Here is a 21812-nt window from a genome sequence, read left to right as displayed (position 1 = left end):
GAAGGTCCTGTTTCACCAGCCACTGGGCTTCCCTGGGGCTGGGCCCAGGTCTGCTTGTGACCTGGTAAAATCCAAGCTTAAAGCATTTCTCCTTTTTACTCTCCCTGAGCCCTGTCTCCTCCCAGCTTGCCTGGTCTAGGAGGGAGCCCTGCATATCGGTTGCCTCTGATGAGACAGACTCAGGCAGAGTTTGCACTCGGCTCTTCTGCTTACTGGCTGTGTGCCCCCAGGTAAGTAACTTAGCTTCTCTGAGCCAAAGTTTCCCCATCTGCTTAAATGGTGGGGTGGTCCTAATGAATCCTAGTCCCTGGGGTGATGGGGCCCTGGAGGCGCAGTTCCCTTGCAAGGAGCCCTTTGTAAGTGCTGTCCTCTTGCATAGCATTGGGCGCCCCCAGGAGGGGATGGGCATCACATAGAGCCCCTAAGTCTGGGGCTTGGAGAAGGCTCATGCTGGCAACGAAGAAGGGAAGGCACTTGTATCCTCTCCTCTGCTGGCTCCAGCAAAGCTCAGACATTCTGCCACCTGCCCCATAAAACACTCAGTCTTGAACCCCAGGAGCACTTTCCATATGTGTCTGTCCTGGGACTGTGACTAACCTGGAGCACCCAGATTCTGTTGTGAGGCCTCCCACCTGAAACCCAATAGCTGGCTCTTCAGGCTACTAGAAGAATCCTTCTGGGTTGCCTTGGGGTGTGCGGATGTGGGGATTCATTAGGGCTCTTGTTCTTGCTACTCCATGGCATCCTTTGGTGCCAACTCACCAGGGCCTCAGGAAGCTGGGAGGGTCAGGGGGCAATTAGGAAAAGTTCTCCCCTTCTTCACACCACCCACCAGCCCTTAGTTACTGGAAAGAGCAAATGCAAATGGATCCAAAGCACAATACCCAGAATACACTGCCACGCTTCCTAGGGGCTCACTCTTAGTTAAAGCTGGGCTCCTCTTGGGGGCTGACATTTTCCTTGGTTCAAACAACATCTGCGCCTTGCCAAGCTTGGCAAAAGGTGAGGGAGCCAGTTACTGCCACTGTAGACTCAAGTGAAACAGAATACCTAGCTACACTAGGTCCCTCCCACCTGGTGGGGGGGCTGGGTCCACACATGCACTCATGCACATGCACACATGCATGCTCCCCCCACCACATACACTCTCATGGTTACCTCACACACACACACGCACACATGTGTGTTCACAAGTCCTCCATACACACACATATGCCTACTTAAGAGTACCTCACTCACACACACTTGCATGCTTACAGATCCCTTCACACTCGCAAATCCAGTGGGCACATTCACACTTATGTGCAGACACATGTGCATGCCTTATCAGGAAACTCAGGCCCACTCAAACATGCCCACATTCATGCATACCTATGTCCACCATGAACAACACACAGACTCTTGTGAATGAGAGAAGGGGGTTGGCCCTCTCCCCTCCACCCCCAGCTCCTGAGATTCAGCAGATCCAGCAAAGGCTGCTGAGAATTTGAAATAAAGGGCCATCTTCCCCTCCAGGCTCCAGGCCAAATCTCCAAATAAAATCAGGCCAGGGAGAAATGAACAGCTGAGATGCACAAAACAATGTGAAGAAGCAGCTCTGAAAAAAAACGAATAATAATATAAAAAAAAGGTGAGAGTTATTTTTCAGCTCACTGGCTTTCTGAAAAGTAATATAAAGTTGGGCAGCCTCTTCTTGGAATCGACCTTTCTGAGCCGAGACCCAGGCCACACGCACATCTCTTTCCTCTCTTTCTATTACCTGAAATTTGTATGGTTTCATCTCCTCCGATTTTCTTTCATTTGTGCGCCTGTGCAAACCCCTTGTGTCAGGGGCTTGTTACTAACCCGGCAGCCCCGCCATGCTGGGAGCTGCTTCTCCTTTGGCCTCCTGCAGGGCTGAGAATTGAGAGCTTGCTCAGCTCTGTTCCCCTCGCTGCCCAGGAGGGGCTGTAGACCTCCTCCCTACCCCACTCTTCCACTAACCTGGACTCCCAGCCTTCTTTGTTTCTAAGAAAATTCTCTCGCACACTTTTCACTCAACCAGGGCTGGAAAGGAGAGGCTGGATGGGCTGAGGGGCCCAGGGTGCTGGAGCCCAGAGCCTAGCTCAGGGTCTGGTGCAGGTAGGAGCAGAACAAATGTTTAGTGAATGCATGAAAGAGCAGATGAATAAGCAAATGGTTCTGCCTTTTTCAGGGAGTGGAGGGAAGAAGTTCCTATTCTAAAATTTCCAGGAAAAAGATTTAGGAAGGGGGACCAGAATATTCCTAACAGTGATGATATTCCCTGAGGTTCTAGTTACTCCTCCTCTAGGAGTGAGACTTGAAGGTCTTACAGAAAGGTGGCCCTTAACCTTTTCTCCCCTGTCACCTCCTGTCCAAGACACAACACTCATATGCACAAACACACAGTGAGAGAACCTCAAACACACCCACAGAGTACACACACATGCACCCCTCAGACACATTAACAGAGTACACACACATACACCCCTCAGACACATCCACATAGGTACACACACACATGCACCCCTCAGACACATCCACAGAGTGCACACACACCCCTCAGACACATCCACGGAGTTCACACACACACACACCCCTCAGACACATCCACAGAGTACACACACACACATCCCTCAGACACAGCCATATAGGTACACAGAGGCACCCCTGAAACACACACAAATGCATGCACCTGTAACACATCCACATATATACATGAACATGCACCCCTCAAACACACGTGTATGCTTGTACCACAAACACATCTGCATAAGTATATGTGCAGGCATTCCTCAGGCATATGAGTGCATACACTTTACACACATCCACATAGGTACATGCACGTGCACCCCTCAGACACACATAAGTATATGCACGCATCTCAAACACACTCATGCAGTTATACACACATGCACCTCTCAGACACACACGTGTGTGATCATCTCAGACACATCTACATAGACACAAACAGACAGTCCTCAAGCACACACAAACACATGTGCACACCTCATAAACATGCACACTCAAACCCATGTGTTTGGACATCTCAAATAGATTTTCACAAATATCTACACGTACCTTTCAAATACAGACATACTGACACATCTGAAACATTTACACATATACATATGCACACAGGTGCATATGCACATTCCTTTGCATGGGTGCCTTTGTGAGCAGTGCTAGTCTCTTTTCAGTCACCTGTGTCCACTCTCAACTTCTACTTCCTGCCATGAGGACATGTGTACTTGATGATTTGCATCCCTCTTGACTTTTGCAATGAAAGAATCAAACATGGGGTGGCAGCTCCCCGTGGCTTCTTTAGTGTAAAGATGATTGAGGGGTGCCTGCTTTATCCCAGACTAGGGTATAATGGCTTCAACAGGACCAATCTGGCACCTGCCTTGGGTTCATTCGGGGGAGTTAGGAAATCTCTGTATGGATGTGCATTGTGTATGGATGGGGAAATGGGAGCATGAGGATGTAGGTAAAGTACTTGAATCTTTTCTCCAGAAGAAAGTAGGAGGAGATAGCTAACTCTGATGCCCATCCCTGCTGTAGCCTCTGTCCTGACTCACACTCAGGGCTCAAAGCACAAGGGAGCTGGATGAGGGGCTCATGGCATGACATTAGTGGTGGACTGCTCAATGCCAACAGTACAAATAATGGACATTTGCGAATCCTGGGCTGTTTGGAGAAATGCTTCCTCCTTCATTATGCCGTTTCTATCATCACAATCATCTTGTAATAAAAATGGGACAGGTATTAGCTAAAGGGCCTATTTTATAGATGAGGAATCTGAGGCTTAGGTAAGGTGAGCATCTTGCCAAGTGTATTAGTCAGTGTTGGCTAATTGCTGTAACAAACATTCCCAGATCTCAGTGGGTTAGCTCAGTAAGAGTTTCTCAAATATGCCCTCTTCAGTGAGAGTCAGCAGGGTTGCTCTTCTTGATGCAGTAGGGTCCAGGACCCAGGCTGCTTCTCCCTGTGACTCTGCTGTCCTCAAGGTATTTGGAGTTTCTTGATTTGGCTGATCAATGGAGAAGAGCAGGGGAGGGTTGTTTGTGGAATGCTTTTTCTGGGCCAGGCCTGGAGGCAGCACACATCACCTCTTTCCATATTCCATAGGTTAGAATAGAAACACACAGCTATAGCTAACAACAAAGGAGGCTGGGAAATGTAGTCCAGGAAGAAAAGGTGAATGCAGATATCGGTGAGCCCTGACAGTTTCCACCACACCCAGAATTACACAGCTAATGGAAGTGGAATCAGTTCTCAGAGCTGGGTTTTCCATTCCAGTGGCTGTGCCTTCCCCTTCTAGCATGTTACTTTGAAGTATAAAGCTTTACCGACAGAACACTGCTCCTGATCTATGTTCTAGGTCTGGAAGCCCTGACATTTATAAGAATGTAATGATAATGACAGTAATATCTAATGATTTATTGGTTTCCTATCTGTTCTATTGTGTACACTCTCTCATTTCATTGTCTCTGCCACCCCATAAAGTATGTAGATAACACTACCTTCTCTAATCTACCTTAGAGAGATTAAGTAGCTTGTCTGAGGTTGTGGGAGAGAGAGATTGTGAGTCCAGGACTTCCTGGCCCCCATCTCCCATCTATCTCCTATGTTGCTATGGCTCCCACTGGGCATAGGGTTGGAAGTAGGGTGGGTGGAGAGTCAGCCTTCTCTGTCCTGCAAGGCAGACATTCCTGGTGAAACTTAAGTAGGATGCTAGTGATGTCAGGAGTGGGCAGAGTCCTTGCAGCCTGCTGTTCTGGGGAGCATCTGAAACCATGTGTGAGCCTAGGCCATTGTAGCTTAGTTTAGTTGATAACCATATGCCTGGGTGATGCTGGGAATTGATTTCTTTTCTTTTTTTTTTTTTTTTTTGAGATGAAGTCTCGCTCTTGTCTCCCAGGCTGGAGTGCAGTGGCGCGATCTCGGCTCACTGCAACCTCTGCCTCCCGGGTTCAAGTGATTCTTCTGCCTCAGCCTCCTGAGTAGCTGGGACTACAGGCACACACCACCACACCCAGCTAATTTTTAAATTTTTTTAATAGGGACGGGGTTTCACCATATTGGCTAGGCTGGTCTTGAACTCCTGACCTTGTGATCCACCTGCCTCAGCCTCCCACCTCGGCCTCCCCAAATGCTGGGATTACAGGCATGAGCCACTGCACCTTTTTTTTTTTTTCTTCAATTTTGCCCAGGTTGGCCTTGAACGCGTAGCCTCTCCTCCTTGTGCGCCAGGACAACCGGTCGGAGCCACTGCAGCTACCTTGATTTCTCATTATATGACCTTGAACAAAGCATCCTGGGTTAGGAGTCATGCCGAGACCAAACCATAATTAACTGTGTAACTTTGGGCACCTCACTGAAAGTCTGTGGGGTTCAGTACCACCACCCTTTTTCCCCTGTGAATTGGAGATTGTCACCACTATCATCATTCTAGACCTTTCAGGCTGCAATGGCCTCCTCCTGATTGGTCTCCCCAGCACCACATAACTCCTCTTCAAATCCTTCCTGCACATCCCTGACAGATTAATCTTCTCCATTGCACACATAGATTTTCACCATGTCTTTCTTCTGCTTGACAATTTCATGACCCTCTGCTACCATAAAGCCCAAACTCCTTAGTGGAGCCCTTTCTTTCTACTCTGCCCCCAGGTTACCTGTCCAGATGGCTCACGCTTGACTCCCCTGAGCGCAGCAAATGCTACTGCCAGGCTGTCCTTTTCCTTCCCCGGGGATCCTTATTGCAGAGTGGCTCTCCTTCCTGCCTACCTGTTTACACCTCTAAGATCCCTCTCTTAACACCACGATCATCTTCATTCTCACATCACTGCACTTGTACTCCATGCAGCACTTCCCTTGGACACTCATTTGGTGCTGGGGGCTTCTACAAATGTGTCTTATCTTCTTCACTAGATTGTAAGCTTCATAAGGGTGAGAGCCGAGTCTTGCAGTTCATACCCTTGGATAGAACAGCCCTCGGACAAAAGTTAATGCATGAAAAACATGATCAGAAGATGAGAGACTTTTTGTGATATGCAAATGAAAGGTTTGGCTTAGAGGCCAGCATTAAAGTTGTTTTGATTGTTTTTTGTCAGCCAGCAATCAGGAGGAAGCTCCCACATCTTGGCTGGCTGGTAACCCTCTATGTCTACCTGCAAAACTATGTAGATTAGATCTCAAATCAGAGCCTCATGGTACTTCTGGTGGTACTTTCTTTGCCTCCTGGGGGAATAAGCTCAGGCCTCCAGCAGGCTAACCTATCAGGCAGAAGCAAGCTGGGCGTGTACATTTGGTGAGCTCCTCAAATTGAGCTCTCTTGGCTTTTTCCCCACACCCAGCGCCTCCACACCAGGCCAAACTGTAGGCTGAAGCCAGTGGAGAAAGTAATAGATTGGAACTAGGATGCTCAGGTTAAGTGGGCCGCTTTGTGGAGCTCATCCATAATCCTGCAGGAGCCCAGAGAACAATACGTTAATTAGAGCCGACGGCACCGCTCCCACCAGCCATCCATCCTGCCTGTGTCTGCTGGGCCTTCCCCATGGACATGCCAGCCTACTCTATACTCTGAAAGAGATTTATTCATTATCAATGTTGTCTGAAAGAAAGGGACCTGGTGGGGAGGGAGTGAGATTCCAAGAGAAACAGGATATGAAAGAGGCGGAGCCGAACCTGCTGGCAGCTGACAAATGGGTATGTTTGGGGGCTGGAGAGATGGGGTGTTCCCAATTAGGAGGATAAGGCAAGTCCACCTGGTTGGGGAGGGAGATAAGTCAGTCAGATGAAATTAGAAGATGTTCAGCAAATATGTCCAGCAAGAAGTGGCCCTGGCTAGGGTTTTAGGTTTGGACCTAGCTCACTTGGAGCCCCAAATGATGGGGGAAAAGAAGGTAGGGAAGAGGAAGTTCACTTACCTGGTGTCTATCCCAGTGCTTGCACTCAGAGAGCACTGAAAAAGTGCTTGTCAAGTGAATAATTAAATGACGGGGTGTTTAAAGCTAGAGGGATTTAGGTCAGCTATCATGAGGAACCCATTACCAATGAGCAAAGAGAAATATGAACCAGAGAGAACAAGAACGGGTCCTGGGATTTTTACCCAGGTGTTCCTTGAAAGAAAGGGAGACACGTTTCATTTTTGCCAGAGCCTATTATCTATGTGTCATGTAGATTTTGGAGAAAATGGGAGATGACCAGCCCTCCTGAAGTTAACGTGGCAGCCTGGAGAGGAGAGAGATGACGAAGGACTGGTTGGGCAGTGGCCCACTGACCAAAGCTCCAGAGAGAATGATCCGGAGCTGAGCAGTAGACACGAAGTCACTGCTGCATAGACTCATCTTGCGAAAGGCACATAAAAGGCAGTAGCTCCTTCTCTGTCCAAATGGAGAAAGTGAGGCTGAAGGGGGGAAGTGAGTTGCCTAAAGTCCCACAACTGATTAATCCCAGAACCTCTGTCCAGCTGTGACACCAGGGCCATAGTTTGGATGGACCTACATGGACCTCTAAGCGTGTCACCTAGAGGCCTTGTTAGACATGCAGAGCCCAGAACTTCTGAATCCGAGTCTGCATTTTATCAAGATCTCTACGTGGTTTCCACACACCCCAGTGTTGGAGAAGCACATCAATTAGATCATGTGCGTAGTGCCTAGGTGTGCATAGTGCAACACGGTGTTTTGGGGAGAGAACTAATGTGGTGAATTGTAAGTTCTAGCCCTGCCTTTCCATTAACTGGCTGGGAGACTTGGGGCACATCACTTAGTCCCTCTGGGCTTTAGTTTACTTATTTTTAATACAACATGATTGAGCAAGATCAGTGATTTTTAAGTTTAGCAATCCTCAGAATCACCTGGGAGAAAGGCAGATTCCTGGAGGCTGCCCCCAGGGTTCTGTGTAGGGCCCGAGAATTTGCATTTCCAGTAGTTTCCAGTTGATGATGGTCCTGCCAGTCTGGGGACCACACTAACTGCATGACCAGGTGACTTCTTCTAAGATTCCTTCTGATTCAGATATTTAATGGGATATCCCCCCACTACCAAGTGTCTTGGTAAGAAGAATCTCTTGACTCCCCAGTACAGGCCTCTTCTGAGTGGCACCGGCCTGTCCCTGTCATTTCTGCCTTCCCCTCCTGCTCCAGGCAGTTAATGCCATTTCTCCCACATACCCAGGATTGATGATCTAAGTCTTATAAAATGCACGGAAGGCAATACAGGCAAAGTATTATCAACAAGATTTAAGAAGAGTCCTGAGAAACACAGCAATAAAACCTGGAAATAACTATCCATTTCCTACCAACAAAACATCTCATTTCCGAGTCCATAAACGCTACCCCCCTCCAGATCCCCAGACCCATCTGTTTTGTAAGCATGTATAATTATTAGCAACATAAAGTCAGTTTCTATACCTAATGTAATTATTGGGAGCCAAAATAGTATCAGGTGAAGGAGGGGGAGAGAGGAGGAAGCTTGCTCACTGCAAACTCAGATTATTTCTTTAAAGAGCGAGAAGTAGTCACATGAGAAGATAGGGATTCTTTATGGGGACATTATACTTCCTATGGAGAGTTTGGGGACAGCTTTGCAAATAAGACTGAGCTGGCTCATCTCAAAGCAAAGAGCGGTTTCCTGCCATGTGAGGTGAGTTTAGGCCCTGTTGGGAACAAGAAATTAGGATCACCATGCTTCCTCTGCGGCCAACCTTCAGATTCTCTGGAGACGTGGAGAGCATGGCCTTCCTTCCGGAGGCACTGCTAAAGTTAGTTCATGCCTTTCCTTCTCTTTGTAGTGCCTCTGGAGGGAAAAAAAGAGTTTGCAAAGGCACTCTGAGATTTTAGCCAGCTGGGGATTCCTGGTTCACAATGAATTCAGGACCATTATCTTTGTGCCCTGCCACAGTGTCCTGGGGGAGCTAGCTGGTCACCTGTTGAATAGGTGAGTAAGTGAATAGATGGAGTGAGGCATGATTGCAGAAGGTACACATGGTAACAGGAATTGTTATTAAAGGTGAAGGAGAGCATACTCCTTCTCTTCGTATGGCTTATTTGTGACAGCGTGTCAGGGGTGGGGCAGAATAAAGACCAATGAGGCATTATAAAGAGGCTGATTTTGATTTATTTTATAATAAGCAAAATAACATTTTGACCAGGAGAGCTTTCCAAATGCAGTGGTCCCCTTTGTATGGTGGTGAGTTCTCTGCCACTAGAGATTTTCAAACAGAGCCATGGCAACCCTTTCCCATGAGTCTTATCTAGGAGCTGGGTGTATTAGGTAGGAAGGAAGTGCATGTGGGTGGGGGTAACAAGAATATTTATCGAGCATCTACCTACTGTGTGCCTGACTCTGTACTAATCTCATTTAATCCACTCACCAAACCCATAATGTAGATGCTCAAACCCCTATTTTAAAAATCAAGCAAGCTCAGAGATATTTGTGTCACTAGTCTGTGTCACCCAGCTAGTAAGAAGTGCAGCTAGGATCCAAACCTAGGTCTGCCTACTCCAAGTTTATCTGTCTTCCACAGTGCCTTGAAAATACTGTCGTAGGCTTCAGATTCTTCAGTGCACTTATTGGAACTGAACTTGATGTGCCTGGCTCCTGCAAACACAGGCTGGTGCCACCACTGGCTGAGATGATGTTGCTCTGTCTTCTGGATCCATCGCTGAGAATTCAAAGCTCTCGTAAGAGGGCCTGCGGTGGGGAGGACTGCTATCAATGCCATTGTCTTTTGCTTTGAATTTGTTTCTTAAGCCGCCCTAGCATCTTCCCCTCTGCAGATTTGCTTGTCTGCCAGAATCCCAAATCAACCTGATGGCTTAGGGATTTCACTCTATGATCTGGAAATCCATGTTCCTTCTTCCCCTTCCCCACTCCTGGGAGTGGGCTCCTTTCTTCAGCCATCACACGGACCACATTCAGGGCTGATGGGGGGAGCGTTTCAGCTGGACAGGGGCAGATGGCCTCATTGTCGTTAATGTGTAGTGATGGGAGAATCCCAAAGGTGCTGGTGGCGTAATCTGGAGACAGCTGGAAAGCCGGACTGATGTGTTTTCTGAAGCGTCTCGGCAGCCTTTGGAGGCAGCTTCGTGTGAGTGTGTTTAACTCCCATCTTTGTCCCTTGTTCTCATGCCAGCCTCCTCTGGATGCCTACCAGATTCCTTCCTGCCTGTGTGACTCCATGCCCTGTCTCTGTCTCTCCTTGGAACTGCATGGCAGGGACTCCTTCCTTGTGTGATGGGGGAGCAGGCACTGAGGAGGGAAGAAGGGGCGGGGCACAGCTAGGCAGCTGGTGCCGGCCACCACCTTTCCCTTCTGAGCCCACCCCCTTCCTTTTGCCTCTGCTTGCTTTTGCCTCCAGTTCCTCCCAATCCAGCTTGCCATTGTGCCGGGGCAGGCCCAGCAAGAGGAGGACACTAGCCAGGCCTCTGGGAGGGCATCTGCTTTGGCTGATAAGTACCCCTGTCTTTCTCCTCCCCTTCAGCAGGGCGGAGATGCCCTCCCCCATGAGCCATGGAATTAAAACAGGGAACTGGGCTCTGGCAACTGGCCTTCTCCCTGGCACCAGGCCTGCTCTGTCTCCATGGATTTTTCTCTCTGAGAGTCACTGTTTCCTGATTAAAAATGATTTCTTCTTGCATAGCAAACTACGGCCTTGTCTGGTGTCCACCCCCAAATGAGATGGAAAGTTGGAACTCTAGGGGCCCAGGACACATCAATAGGAAAGAAAGACCTTGATGTCTAAGAATCCATTCCCCTCCAGGCCAGGGGGAGGTTTGAGAGCAGAGGACTGCATGGAGGGCGAACCTGATCCTACTTGCCTCCGACCTGTGGTTTACCGTCTAGCCCAGCATGAGAGTTGGATAGGGCTGCCTAATAAAGCACCCCAGACTGGTGGCTTACACAATAGGACTGTGTTATCTCACAGGTCTGGAGGCCAGAAGTCTGAAATCAAGGTGTCAGCAGGGTTAGTTCCTCCCGAGGGCTGTGAGGGGAAGGATTTGTTCCAGGATCTCCCCTTGGCTGCCGATGGCCATCTTCTCCCTGTGTCTTTTCATGTAATCTTCCCTCTGTGTGTGTCTCTGTGTTCACATTTCTCCCTTTTTATAAGGACACCAGTTCTATTAGTCTGCTTGGACTGCTGTAACAAAATACCACAGACTATGTGGTTTAAACAGCAGAAATTTATTTCCCACAGTTCTGGAGACTGGAAATCCAAGCTCAAGGTGTTGTCAGGGTCAATTTCTGGCAAGGACTCTTCCTGCCTTGCAGATGGCTGCCTTCTGACTGTATCCTCACATGGAGTGGAGAGAGCTCTTGTGTCTCTTCCTCTACTTGTAGGGCCATGAGCCCTATCAGATTAGGGTTGCATCCTTATGACTTCATTTAACCTTTACCACCTCCTCACGGGCCCTGTCTCCTCATACAGTGACACTGGGAGTTAGGCATTTAACATATGAATTTTGGAGGAATGACACATCCCAAGTCCATAGCACCAGTCATATGGGATTAGAGTCCATCCTAATGATCTTGCTTTAACTTAATGATCTCTATAAATACCCTATCTCCAAGTAAGGCCATATTTGGAGACCTTGGGAACTAGGACTTTGACATATGAATTTTGGGGAGACAATTCAACTCCTAACACTCTGGGTCTTCCTGGCTCACTGTAGCACCCTAGAATCCATTACAAAAGAGATTGGTGGCTCGAGTGTGTCCCCCTTCACTGACACCATCTGCTGAGTTTTCTCGGGGAAGGGGTGGGCAGAGTCCCCTCAGGAGCTCCCTGTGCTGAGGCTGAACCCCAGGGCACCCCAGGCTCTGCTCAGCAGCCCCACCTTATGTCTTGCCAGCTCCACTGCCTGCTGCCATTCCTGCACTTATGCTGTCAGCTTTCCCACTAGGGCCACCACCACCCCGGCTGACTCATTTCTGAACCATAGCCTTCAGCTGGTCATTTCAGGTCTCCTTGAAGATATCTGGGCAGAGCCAGCTGGAGAGCAAGAAGGGGCACATTTTTGATGTTGCTGGGCATGGGGCATGTGGGGAGGGCATAGAAGTGGGAAAGAGGTGGAGGAGAGGAGTGAGAAGAGAGACCAATGGCAATTAGATTCTCTTTCATCCCAAACTTGCTGTCACAGCCAGGAAGCAAACCCTTATCCCACTTTTTCTTCATAATAGGTTTATTCCAAAAACATTTCAAGAAAGAGAAATGCTGTTTTCTTTTAAATCTTTATTTAAAGTACACAAAGAAAAGAATTTTTCTTTTCTAGGTCGAGTAGCCCTCATATCTTTATCATTCTCCCATCATTTCCTGCTGGAGATGAGGAATGCAGGCCGCTGTGATCAGGAGGCCCTCAAGTCACACGGTGGACCTGAATTGTGGAGCTGGGCAAGGCTCCTGGGAACCCTTCTCTTTGTTCCTTTGGGTGACCCACACACTGTTCTGTCAGCTCCTGCTTTGGTTGAATCCCAGGTCTCTCCAGTGTGCCTTCTGTGTCTTGTCTTCCTCCCTCCTCATTCACACACCTCTTGGCATTATGGTATGAAGAGAGCACAGGGTTAGGAAATAGAGAACTCACCTCACCTGCCATTGATGTAAGTGGGTAAGGGGAGAAAGGGCTTATGGCAATGACGAATGTCCCACAGCTCCTTTACCTCTGGGGACACTGCGCTGGATGACATCTATGGAGAATGACCACATCACACCCTCCCTGTCTCTGTCTTAAAATCACAGTCTCTGAGAGTTGGAAGGGTCTTTGGAAAATATAGAACTCACTTTCCGACTGCGCCCCTGATGGATGCTGGATAGCGCCCCAGAGTGAGGAAGATGGGGAAGGCACACTGGAGAGGCCTGGGATTCATCCAAGTCAGGAACCCACATGCATGCTGGATAGGGCCTGTTTCTTCTGCATTCGAGGCTGGGGCTGCTCCCTCCCTCTCCCAACTATGGCTCATCCCATGGTTGGGCAGCTTGGGGTGTTCAAATATCTTTTCTAGTGTTGAGTAGGATCCTTCCTGTATTAGTGAGGGTTAGAAACAGAGCCAAAAGGGGGTGTGTGTGTGTGTGTGTGTGTGTGTGTGTGTGTGATATAAAAACATTTATTCTAACAAATTGGCTCATATGATTATGAAGGTTGACAAGTCCCACGTCTGTCGGGTGAGTAGGCAAGCTGGAGACGCAGAAGAGCTGAGGTTGTAAGTTCCAGCCTGGGTCTGAAGGCCTGAGAACTAGGAGGGCTGATGGTGTAGGTTCCAGTTGGAAGGCCACAAACTTGAGACCCAGGGACAGCCAATGTTTCGCTTTGAGTCTGAAGGTAGGAAAAAGCTGATGTCCTAGAAGGCAATCAGGCGGAAAGAATACTCTCTTACTAGGGGGAGGGTCAGCCTTTTGCTCTATTCAGGCCTTTAACTGATTGGGTGAGGCCACCCCTGTTGGGGAGGGAAATCTGCTTTGGCCGTCTGCTGATTCAAATGTTAAACTCATCCCCAAACACCCTCAACAGAAACACCCAGAATCATGTTTAACCAAATATTTGAGCACCCTGTGACTCAGCCAAGTTGACACATAAAATTAACCACTACCCTTCCTTTCTATTTTTCCCTAGTTATCCTGGTCTACCTTAACTGGTTTTCCAGGGAGGGCCAGCCCTTCAAAGGGGCCCACTGTCCAGCCCAGCCCACTGTTCCTGGGAGGAGGCCTGGGTGCCCCAGCTGGAAGATGCCTCAGTTCCCGTTAGGTTGCCTCTCCCCATAGGGCAGTGGCTGGCTCCCCTTACCTCAGCTGGGCCAGAGGGGCCATCTGTCCTGCCCTCCCATCCCCCAGCACATCCAGGTGCTTGGCTGGCACATATCAGGATGCTCTGGCCAGAGAGGGTGATGCTGGTTGGCCTCTGCTTGGATCTATCTTAGAGAAAACAAATAGCTCTCAGGATAAGAGCCCTCCTCCCTTCCTTCTCAATTCTTGGTAAATCACAGAAATCACAGTGATTAAGGCCAATAAAAATCCTGGGACTGACCTCTGGAGAAGGAAGTAAGAAAGCTCATTTCCACCTCTGTTCCCCATCCCTAGTAGTCCCTAGTAGGGGCCTCAGAGATGGAGGGAAGGGGGCTACTTACTAGATGCCAGAGACTCTACACACATCATATCCTGTAAGCTGCACAAACGCCTAGCATGGGCCAGTCAGTCTCATCTCTATTTTTACCACAAGGACACTAATGCATGGAGAGTTGATGTCACAAGCACAGAGTCAAATAGCTGCTAGCTGCAGGAGCCAGGATTTGAATCCAGCACTGATGTATTCCAAACCCTCCTCTTTCTGCTACATCTTGGGATGTTATGTGCCTATGCAGGCTCTGTGAACTGTACTCTGTAACGGCAGAGGGGCAATAATCAGTTTTAACATAATTCTAACAGTAACAATGTAGCTCTACCCAGCTGGTAGCCAGCATAGGGGATCGCTGCAGGTTTGACACTGCTATGTCATTTTCAGTAGCTCGTGAATGAAGAGGCTGGAGGACATGGCTACTGAGGGCCACCTTTTCCAGCTCTGGGACCCTAGGCATGAAAGCCTTTCAGCTGACATAGGAGGATCTCCAGAGTAGGTAGCCTGAGACGCCTTCATTTTTGCAGCACCAAGGAAAGGGAGAGGTGGAGGAATGAGAGGCCTACCTCCCCAGCATCTCATGGTCTGCAGTCCCTCCCCCCACCATTCTGAGAGGGCGAGACCTTGCTGGCAGAGGAGGTGTAGACAGGAGCCTTTGCAAAGGGCACAGCGGAAGTGGAGCCCAGCTTCCTGTTTGTTTGGGACATAGCCAGCCTGTGTTCTGCAGAGACTCTGAAGAGGAGAGCAAACAAGGGGATTTTCGGATGGTCTTTGCCTGCTTTCTCCTTTGTTTTCCCTTAGAGGAAGAGGCAGTGGCTACGGATCCTCTAAATGTTGGCCTGGAGGAGTCAGGCACAGGAAATTGGAGGGGGGAATGGCTTATGTGAGATGAGGAGACTGAAGTTCTGTTAAGCCGAGCTGAGGAGTGATTGACTTGCGCCCTCCTCAGAGAAGCTCTGGGTTCTCTGGAGGGAGTGTGAGCTGACCTTTCTGGATCTCCTTGCTTCTTTTATAGTGGACTCTTTAACAGGCATTGTTATCAATTTGGAGAGTCTTGGGGCTGGAGGAGTCTGAAGTTAATCACTCAGACACTCCTTGAATACCTGCAGAGATGGGAAACTCACTCTCTTCCCAGGCAGCCCATTTCATCTTTACACAGCTCCTTCCTAGGCAAGCTGTCTCCTAGGATCTTCTATTCATCATTCCAGGGTCTTCAGAGCCCTGCAGTGTTTCTCCTCCTTGCTTTGTGGCACTGCAGACCATTCCTTTTTTCCTCTGACCCCACACGTGCATTTTACGTGAAGTGCCATGATAGTCCTCTGGGAATGTGACCCAGTGCTCTGAAATTACGTGTAATTGTTGTTTCATTTCCTCAGCTGGACTGTGAGCTGCCTTCAGCGGCGACCAGACCGTCTGTATCCCACATATTCACTACTAGCAGCTGAGCAGATGGCAAGCGCTTAATCACTGCATGGTGGAAAGAAGGAAGGATGAAAAGGAAGGGAGGGAGGAGGGGAGGGAGGACAGAGTTGCCCTCATCATCTTTGTCTACCAGACAGTAGGTCCCCACCCAGGATAGGGTTCCCTGTAACAGTCAGTTGTTCCTGTCTGAGGGGTACTCTGGTATAGAAAACAGCTCTGGGCTCTGGCCTCACTACCTGGGTTCCAGTTCCAGCCTTCATATTTCCTGGCCCAGCAAGCTTGGCAAGTTATTTCTGTGAGCCCCAGTTTCCACTCTGTGGGAGGGAATAATCATCACTCACCTCACATAGGGTTGTTATGAGGATAAAATCAGATCAAGGGACCTCATGTCCTCCATAAACTGGGTTTCCTTAGGGATAGAGGCCATACTCAAACTGAGTTTCCTTAGGGATGAAGGTTTAGCATATGGGGAACCAGGATTCCCGCAATAACGACGCCATTATTATTGGATTACTCTCTGCTGTGTGTTAACCACTGAGAAGTTTCTCTGTGGACATTGTCTCAGTGTATGGCTTATAAGGTGGGCAGTTTGGTGATGAGGAAACAGAGGTTCAGAAAGGTTAAGTGACTTGAAAAACTAGGATTTGAACCTAGATTCCTAATGACCTCCGACTCCAAATACTCTTTCCTCCACTTCAAGCTACTTCCCCTTAAGGCCAATATGGGCTGCGGGAGAGTAGGAGGGTCGATGTGGTGGTGGTGGTGGGTGTTGAACTCAAAGACTCTAGAAAATACTCTTAAATCCTGTGACTTTATCATTTTCCCACTGAACAGGGTAAAGAAATTACTGAAGCCTCATTCTTTTCCTGGTTTCACAAATCTTTCCCTTGCCCTAAGTGACTCATTTGCAGTTGGATTCTGGTCTGCCACCAGGTGCTGTTTCATTTTCAAGGAACCAGGGGTGGCTGTGTAAAGATGAGGGTTCCCAGGAGTGCTCAGTGTTGAGGGGGGTGTGCGTGGTGGGGGGAATCTGGAAACCAGGTGGAACAAGGCAAGGAAGATGCAGCTTTGAGGCAGCAACCAATTGATCATTTGACAAAATTTACTGAGCACTTACATGTGCTGGAAGCTGTGCTGGGAGCTGTGCTGAACCCCACAGGGCTGAAGACACCATGGGCTCTGGTCTCCAGAGGTTTGCAGATTGGTGAGGACGACAGGATTCAAGGCAGATGGAAGCTCCTTACGCTTATGGATGGTCAGGGGAGGGGAGGGGAGGAGGATGGTGGGAGGGGCATGCTGCTGGGAAGAGAGGACCAAGTCTTTACCCAGGGGATGGTGGGCAGGGGGGCAGAACACCCGTGTCCCTCTCCAGAATTCTCTGCCTCAGTGGCCCCCTCAGGCCCAGTTCTCAGTTTAAGTCAAATAATTTGGGACCCTAGTTGCCTCCTGCCTGCCACGTTCCAGCTCAATCATTCTTTGAAATTTGGAGCTGTAGCTAAAACGCCTTTGCCCTGTAACAGGATTTTCACGGTCTCCACGGCAGCGGCTAACGTCGCTCATCACCTGCTGTTGTAATCCGCACCGCTAAGCCGTGGGCTAGAGGCAGAAAGCTTAACTCGCCTTGCTGCTTCGAGCTTGCTCTTCCTGGCATCTGAGCCATATTTCAGTCAGGGGAGCTAATCCGCCCCCCCCCCAACCCAACTGCACACACAGAGACATTTCAAAGGAAACACAAATGGCAGAGGGAACTGTGGCTCCTTCTGGGAGGGGCTCCGAGAGCCAAGTTCCCCAGACCTAATGGGCAACAGGAAGTGTGTCCTGGGGTCTGTGAGGAAAACCACTCTTCGTGCCTTCTCCTGAAGGGTTTGCGGGGAGAGCTGAAGGGCTGATTTTTCTGAAGATTGTGTTTCAAGGGCTGGCCAGGCCTCAGTGTCCACATTGGGAGAGTCAGCTCTGTAAAAGGGAATACGTGAGTGAGCTGTGAGCAAGAGCATGTACATGTGTGCCTTGACTCATTGTGCCTGATGAACTCAACACCTAGCATCTTTCCTAAAATCATAATCCCTGGTGGGTTTTTTTTTTTTTTTTTTTTTTTTTGCCTTCTACCTCTGTCTTAATACTTTATGCCTCAGAGAGCCAGAGCCCAGAACACTTGGGAAGAGTGTTTGACACATGACAGGAGTTCACCAACTGCTTGTTGAATGGGTGAGTACTAGCACTGGAGCTCAGCTTTGTTCCAGCTTCGGTGCTGTGTGCTTAAATACATGGGTATAAGTGGAAAAGCAAACTAGAAACAGGAAAAAGTTGTAAACTCCTAAGAGGCAGGGGCCAAGCAAGCATACAGGCATTCATTCATTCAAAACGTGTTGACGAAACCTAACACGTGCCAGGTGTTGGGTTTTTTTTTGTTTGTTTGTTTGTTTGTTTTTTTTGATATAGATGCTGGGGAGACAGCAGTGAAACATATAGACAAAAATTCCTACCCTGGTTCTAATGGAAGGCACTGGACCAAGACTGGGCAGTGAGCAGATTTTTGCTAAACCTAAGAAATGACTTTCTGAGAACTAGAACTGTCCAGCAATGCAATGTGTGGTCGTGTGAGGTAGTAAGCTCCCTGTTTCTGGAAGAGTTTGATCAGAGGCAACGTGAGCATACCTGGGGATGCAGAGGAGGGGGCAGCAGATCCTGTGGATGCCCATATCTCCTTCCCTTATTTCTGCAGTGCAAACTGGCCAGCTTTCAGCAGCCAGCACCTGCATTTCTCTGCCCTAGAGCCTTCTCTGTCCCCAGAGTCTATTTTGGTCCCCATTCATCAACTGCAAACACCAGGGAATTAATGCCCCACCGGGGAGGTGACCTCAAGTGATGACTGACTGGAGCTGGTACACAAATGTCCCAGTTCCCATGTCCCTTGGATGGGATCACACTGAGGCAAATGTTTTCCACTGTTTCTCAGAGTTTCCAGCAGGATTAAGTGAGGGTTCCCCACAGTGGAAACTTGCTGGATAATGAATCCTTCACTGGCTGCCTTCCCGCCCCAGTACCACTTCCCCACTTCCTTTCTGATGTTTCCTGTTCTCACCTCCAAAATGGATGATTTGCATTTGAATCCTGATCTCCATATCTGCTTCTGGGAGACCCCGAAGGAAGACAAGGGGATCCCTGCCCTGTATGGGTGTTGGGACCTCTGAGGATTCCCTCCTTCCATTTCTAACACTTGATAACTGCTGGACTCCTACTGGGCTTTGGAAATGGCACCAGATTCAACCCGGAACTCCCTGTCCCAGCCTGGAGATTGGGCAGAGGACATTTCCTACCCATATAAGACATCAGAGGCTGCCAAACCTGCCTCCCTACCAGGTCAGGAGGTGCTTTGACAGCAGTCCGCTAAGTCCCTTTTGGGATAAGCCCCATGACTTCTGTGCTCCATCAGAGCAGAGCTGTAGCTTCTGAACCTAGAACCCTCCATTAAGGTTTGTTCACGTGGCTCTGCCTGATCTTTGCATCCCCTCAGCCTGTGCCAGCTCTAGCTAGGGCTGGGCCCCCAACCCCTTCACTCCCAAGGTCCTTCTGCTTCCCACAGATGTTGAGCCAGGGGCCAATCAGGCCTGGTCTACAGGCTTTATTATGACATCTGTCCAGAGAAAGTTCAGGGCATAGAACTGAGTGAACGGCAAGCTGGGCTCAATGTCTGCCAACCCCCAAGGCCTGGCACCATAGGACACAGGTACGGATGATAAAACTACATGTTTGGGTGGAGGGGAGAGGGACACACATTGTTTAGCAGGTGTGGCGGACACTGTAATATGCAGCCCAGCCCAGATCTCCTGTCAATGAAGAACATGTTGACCAGCTGCTGGGAAAGTCAGCAGACAGGCTTCCGTGATCCGTCTCTGCAGAGATCACTTCAGCTGCAGACAGCCTCATGCCTGGGGTTGTGCCCTTCTGGGGTGGCCCACATCCACTGACAGATTGATGTGGGAATAGGAAGGCCTGGCCATCTTGGCTGGATTCAGCATGGTTTCCAAAGGCCCTTATCGGCTCCAGAACTCCTTGTGAGGTGCCAAGGCTGCCTGGGCTGCATAAAAGCTGGATTCCTCGATCTGCCCAGGCTCACTTCTTACCCTGCTTGACCATTGCTGTGGGCCCCATGCCACTTCTTATTAAATACCCTGCTGGCAAAACTCCATCCATCTCAGGGGCTGCTCCCAGGCACCCTGACCTGTGATAGTGGAACATCATCCCCACCTACTCAGCTAAGCCTCTGCATCAGCCTGCCAAACCCTATTCCTTTCCAAATTGTTATCCCTACAGCAAGCTCTGCCTACCTTAAAGAGCAAGTCTCGAGCCCAGCCCAGCTCCTCCATTGGTCTTGGCAGGGGGATGTATGTGTTGGGGCGGGTGGGAGTAGGGTAGCTGCTTTCTGCAGGCCACACCCTCTCCCCAACACACACATGCCACCACAACTAAGTCATGTGCTGATGCCCCAGCCGCACACTCAGGCATCTAGAAGGTAAAGCCATCACAGGCCCCAAGCAGTGTCTCTGGATCTGAGGTGCATTCCTGCGGCTGGGACTGCAACGGGAGCTTGCTTTATTAGATCCCATTATAAACGGATGATTTGCCATCTCTGAAGATAAATGGGAAACTTAATGCAGAGATATCCTGTCTGGGGAAACTGGAGAGTTATGGATGTTAGCTTTGTAGCTTTATGAAAGCACTCTCTTATAGAAACTGAAATGACCAAGATTAGATTGAATTAGTATGTACTGGTATGAGTTTTTCTCCCTCATCCATCTTGACTTTTTTTTTTTTTTTTTTTAAGGCAAAATATTTGCCTCCTGTGCGAGCATTTCATAAAAATGCAAATCCCGAGTTTGGGTTTGGTAATTAGCAGGGTTGCCTCCTGGTGCTAACGAGGGTGCTGCCCAGCTGGGACTGTCTATGTAGGTGGAGGAAGCAGTGCCCTCTGCTGGCTTCCCTCGTGGGTGGTGTCTGCTCCCTTCCACCTGGGATCCCCCTCGGTGCCAGGTGCTCCCTTCGCCTGTCCTTGTAGAATACAGATGGATTAGTGAGGCCTTCTATTCCAGCAGCCAGGCTCCTGGCCACCCCATCCGAGGATGGGGATGATCCATCCCATGCAGACTCCACTATCCAGCACAGTGTTCCCTAGCCTGAACTTGAGACCCAGCCCCCAGCTGGGTGGCAAGGCTTTCTGCCAGCAAACAGCTGCATCTGATATATATGTTCTAGCACTTTTGATACCAAGCACAGGGCTAGGCACTGGAGGTATTAAGATGTGGAGGCTGAGATTCTTGCCCTTGAGGAGACCAATCTAACTGAGGGGAGAAAGGCAGATATAGATGATTTCCAAACTGACACTGTTTGATTGTACTTTCTGTCTTGATGGAAACGTTTTACATTTTTGCTGTCCAGTGTAGTAGCCATGAGCTTCCTGTGGTCCCATGGAGATAATAACTGGGATCTAGAGAGGAATTCTAGGGTTGGTTCTTAAGCCAACCATCCTGCGATCTCAGGCAAATCACATCTGCGATTTGAGCCCCAGTTTCATTTTCTCTTATTAAAACTTGCTCTGCTTCTCTACCATATTAGAACCAAGAGACCTAATCTTCACTTGGCCCAACCTTTTCACCTGATGGAGGGAGGAGCAGAGGCTGTGATCTGCCTGATCTTATGGCTGGGGAAGGGCAGAATCAGGCCCTTAACTCCTCATCCTGGCTTTTCGACCACAGCAGGCTGCTGCTAGGGGTACCATGGGGATCAAGTATGAGAAGAGAAATGAAGATCTTTGGAAAGTCAAAGCTACCCAAGCCCCAGACCTTTTTGACACCATGGTGGCTGGTGCAACCACCCATAGAGCCATTGCAGGCTCAGGACCATGTGGTGAGGTTGGGCACACACTTGAAGCTTAGAGAGCTAATGTAGAAGAGACTTATTTGTGAGATTATGCAATACCCTAGGCCCAACGCACAACTCTACAGCTGATGTCTGCCCCAAACTTCAGCGTGATAAAAGAATTCTAAGAGTTGGGCTGTAGGAGGAGGAGATAAAACAGTGTATGTGCCATGGGATACCAAATTTCAGGAGCCCTGAGAACCTCAGAGCCTCTCAGATACCTTACTGGGGTTGGGGTTCACCTGTTGGATGCCCAGAATCCCCATTAGATAGTGAGTGGGGTATCCCAGCATGGTTTCTGAAGCTGTCTTTGGGTCAAGGAGCTTTGCAGAGATGGAGAGGGGGAGACCTACATGGAAATAAA

General features: G+C 49.1%; 3 annotated features.

The window, feature by feature from the left end:
* Positions 10328–10829: an enhancer, noted in NCBI's record as "H3K4me1 hESC enhancer chr11:116051365-116051866 (GRCh37/hg19 assembly coordinates)". NCBI's record gives its function as "activates a minimal SCP1, AML or CMV promoter by ChIP-STARR-seq in primed H9 embryonic stem cells {active_cell/tissue: H9 hESC(primed)}" and the evidence as "EXISTENCE:reporter gene assay evidence [ECO:0000049][PMID:30033119]".
* Positions 13243–13743: an enhancer, noted in NCBI's record as "H3K4me1 hESC enhancer chr11:116048451-116048951 (GRCh37/hg19 assembly coordinates)". NCBI's record gives its function as "activates a minimal SCP1, AML or CMV promoter by ChIP-STARR-seq in primed H9 embryonic stem cells {active_cell/tissue: H9 hESC(primed)}" and the evidence as "EXISTENCE:reporter gene assay evidence [ECO:0000049][PMID:30033119]".
* Positions 13744–14244: an enhancer, noted in NCBI's record as "H3K4me1 hESC enhancer chr11:116047950-116048450 (GRCh37/hg19 assembly coordinates)". NCBI's record gives its function as "activates a minimal SCP1, AML or CMV promoter by ChIP-STARR-seq in primed H9 embryonic stem cells {active_cell/tissue: H9 hESC(primed)}" and the evidence as "EXISTENCE:reporter gene assay evidence [ECO:0000049][PMID:30033119]".

The sequence above is a fragment of the Homo sapiens genome, chromosome 11 (assembly GCF_000001405.40).
Source record: "Homo sapiens chromosome 11, GRCh38.p14 Primary Assembly".
NCBI lineage: Eukaryota > Metazoa > Chordata > Mammalia > Primates > Hominidae > Homo > Homo sapiens.
This window is presented reverse-complemented; position numbering and strand designations above follow the sequence as displayed.